Source organism: Homo sapiens, chromosome X (assembly GCF_000001405.40).
Source record: "Homo sapiens chromosome X, GRCh38.p14 Primary Assembly".
Taxonomy (NCBI): Eukaryota; Metazoa; Chordata; class Mammalia; order Primates; family Hominidae; genus Homo; species Homo sapiens.
Genome location: NC_000023.11, coordinates 127,459,027 through 127,467,824, shown reverse-complemented (window position 1 = coordinate 127,467,824; position 8,798 = coordinate 127,459,027). Strand labels below are relative to the sequence as shown.

The window sequence follows — 8,798 nt, the reverse complement described above, 5'->3', positions numbered from 1 at the left end:
TGAAATATTCTCATTGTTTTTTAGTTTATCCCTAATTTGTTTCATATTAGTTATTGTAAGGAAAACTATTAACTTAAATTTTATCTATTAGGGCTGGGAAATAGGATGAATTGCTGAAAGATGAGTAACATTTATAATTTATAAAAAAAGAGGAAAAATGATTGCAAGTGAGAAAATTAGTAAAAATTAGGTATGTTAAATAAACTATAAATTTATCAAAGTATCTCAAACAGTGTCCTCAAAGTAAATTAAACTAGACTTATTTATTTAAGGGGTTTACAAAAATGTTTATGTCTCGTAAATTGTTTAAAAAGCTATTTTTTTGGGTTACCACATTTTCATAATTGGGATAGAGAAATTAGAAAAATTTAAATAATAACTCCATTTTAGATCACTTTAACAGATTCTGTGCTAAACTGTAGGATAAATTAGGTTGAAATTTTTCAAAGGAAGTTTGTGCTGTGTATGTACAGGCATCAAATCAACAGTTTTGGTCGAGCTATATGCACCTCCTTAATAATGATTCTATACTTCACCACACTTGACACAATATTGGACTCAGATCACTTTTTTTGACTGATATTAATTCAACCCTTGTTAAAATTCAATTATAGGGTTTGAGCAAAAATCTCATTACTCTGCTGTGCCTCAAATTGTGTCTACATTCCACTGTCATGAACAGAAGAATAGTGACAAGGTTAACTGGTTCATTTGGCTTCAGCCAGTTAAGATTTGAGATCCAACTGATCCTTCAGAAGGGCCACGTGGTTAGTGTGGGGAAGTGTCTCCAGTTTCTTCTTTAGAATCTGCTGTATATCATTCCGTTAAGAAGTTTGAGTTGTTGCAGTATATTAGTATGCATGGCTATATGTGACCTTAATATATGGGGCAAAGAGCAGCTCAGAAAATTTTAATGGCAGTTCCCTGGATTACTTGAATTACCACATACCTAAATTTACCTAATAGTAGTAAATCTAGGTTTAGAAGATTATACTCTATTTGATATCTAGTCCATCACATTATCCAGTATAATGTGTCTAAACATGGTAGCCCAAAAAGAATTCATACCTTGGGAGTTAGAGAGAAAACACGTTTGTAAAAACCCAAGATCATTAGCTTTGTGCATTAATTATGTATCTAATATTGTATCCCCATAAAAGGCCTTAATTTGGACATTTAATTTTCTATTTATATTTTTTACAGTATCTGAAAGTTCCAGACTCTTCTTCTAAAGAACAAAAAAGCCTTACATGACTACAAACCAAATCTAATATTAGAAACTTTTGCAATGCATCTGTTTCTATGTAAACTTTGGAGTGTTTTACTGCAGTCTTGTACATATTAAAAGTATGAGATCAGAGAAAAGTGTCATTTGAAAATCATTTTTTCTAACCACATCTGATCAGATTTTCCTAGGCTGATGTGAAATATCATAAAGAATCATGTTCACTTGAATCTGTCATGTTGTATTATGTTATTGTCTTCTAATCCAAAATAAATGAATGCAATGAAATTGAGCATGACACAAGGGAAGAGAGTAGCCAGAAAATTTAAAAACATTGCAATAAGAAACAGTGAGACAGTAGAATTATAGTCCACTGGGTAAAATGCCTGTGTAGTTATGCTTAAGAAAACTTTACTTTCTTCAAACCATGAGGAAGAATAAAAATGTAACGCTAAAAGAAAATGCCAAGAGTCAGAACTGTAATTCTGTCTAGATATGATTATCAAGTCAAAAAATATTCACTGATCATCTACTGACTACTGTGTGTCAGTCATCATGGTCTTTATTCATTAAACCTTGAACTAGAATCCTTTCTTATTTGTACTACAGTTTTTATTAAAAAAATAATACAACAAATAAATAATCAGGAGAAACCTTTTCTGGGTATAAAGACAGACAAATTAAAACTTAAAAACATGAGGCCCCTCAGGCATCAAAAGCTCTAAGTAAGAATATATAATTTATTATTTTCAGAATATATTATTTTCCATGATTTTTCATAAGATTTGTATGAACAGTTTTGATGAGTATTGAATATACATCTATATGCATTTAATGTCAATATTATATGTTATGTGCATGAAATAAATTTGTCATTGCTAGGTAAGGCAACAAAAAAGAATGCCATGAAAGATCACTGCTTGCAGTTCTAACAAATAAGCTAATCACTTCTCTAATAGCCAACACTTCATTCTGTGGATTTTCATGACCATTAATACATTTCAGTTAATTTGACTCTTCTAAATATTTTTTTGAAATGCATAGTGGAGGGGAGATCTTTCAAAAGGTTTATATAGATCAACCTCTTTGCATGGCCAGATAATATGTGGAGTTTGATTTTATTATTTGTATTTTTAACTTTTGTGAGTACATGGTACATGTATATATTTATGGGGCACATGAAATGTTTTAATATAGGCATGCAATGTGTAATAATCACAACATGGAAAAGGTGGTATCCATCCCCCCAATGATTTATATTTAGTGTTATCAACAATCCAATTATACTCTTTTAGTTATTTTTCAATGTACAATTATTATTGAAAATAGAAACCCTCTTGTGCTATCAAATGTTAGGTGTTATTCATTCATTTTAACTATTTTTGGTACCCATTAATAATCCCCACCTCCCCCAAACCCTCATACTATACTTCTCAGCCTCTGGTAACCATCCTTCTACTCTCTATCTGCATGTATTCAGTTGTTTTGATTTTTTACATCCCACAGATACGTGAGAACACGTGATGTTTGTCTTTTTGTGCCTGGTTTATTTCACTTAACATAATGATCTCTAGTTCCATCCATGTTATTGCAAATAACTGAATATCATTTATTTATGGTTAAATAGTACTCCATTGTGTATAAGTACCATATTTTCTTTATCCATTCATCTGTTGATGGTCACTTAGGTTGCTTCACATCTTGGCTATTGTGAACAGTGCTGCAACAAACATGGGAGTGTAGATATCTCTTCGACATACTGATTTCCTTTCTTTTAGATATATAGCCAGCAGTGGATTTGCTGGATCATATAGTAGCTCTATTTTTAGTTTTTTGAGGAACCTCCAAATTGTTCCCCGTAGCAGTTACACTAATTTACACTTCCACCAACAGTGTACAAGTGTTCCCTTTTTTCCACATCTTCACCAGCATTTGCTGTTACCTGTCTTTGGATAGAAGCCATTTTAATTGGGGTGAGAAAACATCTTGTAGTATTGATTTGCATATCTCTGGTGATCAATGCTGTTGAGCACCTTTTCATATGCCTGTTTGACATTCGTATGTCTTCTTTTCTGAAATATCTATTCATATATTTGCCCATTTTTATATTGGATTATCAGATTTTTTCCTAGCTTTTTATATATTCTGATTATTAATCTCTTGTCAGATGGATACTTCACAAATATTTTCTCCTATTCTGTAGGTTGTCTCTTGACTTTGCTGATTGTATTATTTGCTATGCAGAAACCTTTAAACTTGACGTGATTCTTTTTGTCCATTTTGGCTTTGGTTGCCTGTGCTTCTGGGATATTGCTCAAAAAATTTTTACCCAGACCTATGTCCTGGAGATTTTCCCCAATGTTTTCTTTGTTTTCTTGTAGTAGTTTCATAGTTTCAAGTCCTTTATTTGTCTTTAATCTATTTTGATTTGATTTTTGTATATGGGGAGAGATAAGAGTCCAGTTTCATTCTGCATATGGATATCCCACTGTAAGCACACAAATTCATTTCTGGGTTCTCTATTCTGTTCCATTAGTCTATGTGCCCGTTTTAATGCCAGTACCATCCTGTTTTGGTTGCTATAGCTCTGTAGTATAACTTGAAGTCAGGTAATGTGATTCCTCCAGTTTTATTATTTTTGCTTAGGATGGATTTGACTATTCTGCATCTTTTGTGTCCCCATATAAATTTTAGGATAGTTTTTTTTCTATAACTGTGAAGAATGTCATTGGTATTTTGATAAGGATTGCTTTGAATCCGTGAATTGCTTTGGGTAGTATGAACATTTTAACAATGTTTATTTTTTCCAATCCATGAACATGGAATATGTTTTTGGTGTCCTCTTCACTTTCTTTCATCAGTGTTTCCTTCTTTTCATTATAGAAATTTTTCAATTCTTTAGTTAAGTTCATTCCTAGTTACCTAATTTTATGTGTGGTTATTGTAAATGAGATTAGTTTTTGATTTCTATTTCAGATTGTTCACTGTTGGCATATAGCAATGGTACTGATTTTTGTAACAAAATTTATAATTTGATACTGAAATACAAATGTGGTGATAATTCATGATTTTTGTAAATCATCAGCCCTAGATGTTCGTTTATGTCACACCATATTTTTTAGTAAAATCAAAGAAAAATAACAAATATAGTACTTTAGCACTTGCAAAACGCACTTTAACATTTGTATCTCAAACTTCACATCACATATTTATAAACTGTTTTAAGTTTTCATTTATTTTTCCTGGTGACAAAACAGGTTGAAAAGATTGGAACTGTAATAGAGCTTCCTTGACCAATGTTTTGCAAACTGCAAGTGGAAGTACACTAGTGAGTTTTGCAATAAATTAAATGGGCTGCAACCAGCAACTTAAAAAAAATAAAATGAAATAGAATAAAACTGTCATAAAGCATTTTGCACAATTAAAGGTATTTTTTTCTTTTTTATTTATCTTTTATTTTAAGTTTAGGGGTATATAGAGCAGGTTTGTTATATAGCTAAACCTGTTCATGGGGTTTGTTGTACAGATTATTTTGTCACCCAGGTATTAAGCCTAATACCCATTAGTTATTTTTCCTGATCCTCTCTCTCCTCCCATCCTCACCACTCTGAAAGGCACCAGCATGTGCTGCTCCCCTCTACGTGTTCACATGATCTCATCATTTAGCTCCAACTTATAAGTGAGAACATGTGGTATTTGGTTTTCTGTTTGTGTGTTAGTTTGCTCCATCTATCTTCCTGCAAAGGACATGATCTCATTCTTTCTTATGGCTTCATAGCATTCCATGGTGTATATGTACCATATTTTCCATATCCAGTCTACTGTTGATGGGCATGTAAGTTGATTACGTGCCTTTGCTATTGTGAGTAGTGCTTCACTGAACATATGTATGCCTGTGTCTTTATGGTTGAATAATTTCTATTCCTTTGGGTATATACCCAGATATGGGATTCCTGGGTTGAACGCTTGGTCTGTTTTCAGTTTTGTGAGGAATCGCCATACTGCTTTCCACAATGGCTGAATTAATTTACACTCCCACCAACAGCATATAAGAATTCCTTTTTCTCTACAACCTCCACAACATCTGTTATTTTTGGAGTTTTTTACAATAGCAGTTCTGACTGGTAGAGATGGTATCTCATTGTGGTTTTGATTTACATTTCTCTAATAATCAGTGATATTGAGCTTTTTTTGTACATGATTGTTGGCTAACTATATGTCTTCTTTTGAAAAGTATCTGTTCAGATACTTTTCCCACTTTTTAATTAGGTTGATTATTTTTTGCTTGTTGAATTGTTTCTTATAGATTGTGTATATTAGACCTTTGTTCGATGCACAGATTGCAAATATTTTCTCCCATCCTGTAGAGTGTCTGCTTACTCTGTTGATAGTTTCATTTCCTGTGCAGAAGCTCTGTCATTTAATTAGATCCCATTTGTCAATTTTTGCTTCTGTTGCAATTGCTTTAGATGTCTTTATCATGAAATCTTTGACCATTCCTATGTCTCAATTGGTATTGCTTAGGTTGTCTTCCAGGGTTTTTATAGTATGGGGCTTTACATTTAAGTCTTTAGTCCATCTTGAGTTAATTTTTGTAAGAAAGGGCTCCAGTTTCAATCTTCTGCATATGGCTAGCCAGTTATCCCAGTACCACTTATTCAATAGGGAGTCTTTTCCTGTTGCTTGTTTTCATCAGCTTTCTTGAAGATAAGATAGTTGTAGGTGTGCAGTCTTATATCTGGGTTGTCTAGTGTGTTCCACTGGTCTATGTGTCTGGTTTTGGACCTGTATCCCACTGTTTTGGTTACTGCAGACCTATAGTATGGCTTGAAGTTGGATAGTGTGATCCCTTCAGCTTTGTTCTTTTTGCTTAGAATTGCTTTGGATATTCAGGCTCTTTTGTGGTTCCATACAACAAACCATTCAAAAGATCAATGAAGTCAGGAACTGTGTTTTTTTGAAAAAAAATTAATATAATAGGTAAACCATTCACTAGAATATTAAAAAGGAAAGAAAGAAGATCCAAATAAACACAATTAGAAACAAGAAGGATGCTACCACTGACCCCACAGAAACACAAATAACCACCAGAGAATATTATGAATTCCTCTATGCACATGAACTAGAAAATGTAGAAGAAATCGACAAGTTCCTAGGCACATACACCCTCCTAAGACTGAACTGGAAAGAAATAAAATCCGTGAGCCAACCAATAATGAGCTCTGAAATTGAGGCAGTGATAAATAGTCTACCAACCAAAAGTAAGCCCAGAACTAGAGGGATTCACAGCTGAATTCTACCAGATGTACAAACAAGAGCTGGTACCATTCCTATTGAAACTATTCCAAAAAAATTGAGGAGGAGGGACTCCTCCCTAACTCATTATGAGGTCAGCATCATCCTCATACCAAAATCTGGCGGAGACAAAAAACAAAACAAAAACAAACAAACAAAAAAACCTTCAGGCCAATATCCTTGTTGAGCATCAATGCAAAAATCCTTAACAAAATACTGGCAAATCTAATCCAGCAGCAGATCAAAAAGCCACATCTTCATGTTAAAAACTGTTAGTAATCTAGGTATTCAAGGAACATACCTCAAAATAATACGAGCTACCTATGACTGACTCACAGCCAAGATCATACTGAGTGGGCAAAAACTGGAAGCAGTCCCCTTGAAAACCAGCACAAGACAAGGGTGCTTTCTCTCACCACTCCTATTGAACATAATATTGGAAGTCCTGGCCAGAACAATGAGGCAAGAGAAAAAAATAAAGAGCTGCCAAATAGGAAGCTAAACTATCCCTGTTTGCAGATGACATGATCCTGTATTTAGAAAACCACATAGTTTCAGCCTAACAGTTCCTTAAACTGATAAACAACTTCAGGAAAGTCTCAGGATAAATAATTAATGTATAAAAAAGCCACTAGCATTCCTATACACCAACAACAGTCAAGCCAAGAGCCAAATCAGGAACACAATCCCATTCACAATTGCCACAAAAAGATAAAATGCCTAGGAATACAGCTAGGCAGGGAGGTGAAAAATCTCTATAAGGAGGACTACAAAACACTGCTCAAATAAATCAGAGATGAAGCAAACTAATGGAAAAACAGTCTATGCTCATGGATAGGAAGAATCAATGTTGTTAAAATGGCCATACTGCCCGAAGCAATTTATAGATTCAATACTATTCTCATTAAATTATCATTGACATTCTTCACAGAACTAAAAAAAAACCATTTTAAAATTAATATAGAAGGGTATTTTCATTAAAATATGTTTTTCTTGTTATGTGTGTGTATATAGATTTTCTATGTAAAATCTATTTATTATTGTTTTTTATCATGGTCCAAAGTTAAAAAAGGAAAATGTTAAAGCTACTGTCCTAGGTTATGTAAAGCATGTTTCATTATCCATAGACCCATGGTCATTGGAATGTGACCTCAGCATGGGGCGAAGGTGTTTTATAATAAAGATCTTTCATGCTTGCTATTGCCTCTTTTGAGAACAGTGACAGACAATGAGAGTGAATCAGAGGCGGATGTGCCCCAGGGGTGTTAAGTCATTTCTAAATAGTCAACAGATAAACGTCACATTTTACATGTTTTTTCAGAGCTGCCTTCACTCACTGCGACCACTCATTCCTCTGGGGGCAGCTGGGTGGCAGTAGTGTCAACTCTGCCATTTACAATAGAAATACAACTGGGATCACTTGATGCTAAGAAGGTGCCCTGAGTCACCTTAACTTATATCTCTGCTAATTTTAAAAGCCTGTGTTGTCTAAAAAACTGGCAGATTTTGGGATCTAACTGCTTCTTGTGGATTGAACCAATTAGCAGGAGTGTTACTATGAGCATGTTACCTATTTAAACTGAAATAACCACCCCACACACTGGTGCCTTAATAAGCTATTTCATTTTTATTGAGGAGCTAAAGCTATTTTGTATTTCCTGTCGAACGAAAAGTTCCCCTAGATTTTTAATGTAATAATATCAATGAAATCATTGATGTCTTCTTCTCCTAGTCTAGAAAAAGTGTCTTGAGACAGCATCATGCGTTGTTTTGGAGAGACCAAGATAATTCAAATTTTCTAAATAAACCAGATGAGCTGATTTTCCTTTAAGTATAGTTATTTTCTAATTGTGGCTTGCTGTCATGAACACTTGACACTTTCCTGTTGCTTTACCAAGGCATATGACCATTTTTGGTTTCCATGTGCAACAAGTCAGTTGTGTTTGCTCTAAAACTCTTATCTGTATTTAAAGTATCTGTGAATTAAACAACTACGTTTTCACAGCATGAATTTTAGTATAGGGTTCAATTAATACTATATTTCAATTTAGTAGCACATGATTTGTTGTTCTCTAGCTGTTTCATGTATGTTTACCTTATAGTTCCATTATTCTTTCTTCACATGTAACCTACTCAAAAGAACCTCACACAATTTTTGGTCTACAGTTGATATTTTTGTTGCTTGCCGCATATACTCAGATAGTTATAGGATACATGACAGATTATAACTTTTTCTGTATAGGGAAGTATAACAGCAAAAACTATGTGAGTTAACCCA

At 33.7% G+C, this 8,798-nt stretch overlaps 1 annotated feature.

Annotated features, from left to right (window-relative positions):
* Positions 7,683-7,977: an enhancer, noted in NCBI's record as "tiled region #1703; HepG2 Activating non-DNase unmatched - State 24:Quies". NCBI's record gives its function as "activates a minimal TATA promoter and a strong SV40 promoter by Sharpr-MPRA in HepG2 cells {active_cell/tissue: HepG2}" and the evidence as "EXISTENCE:reporter gene assay evidence [ECO:0000049][PMID:27701403]".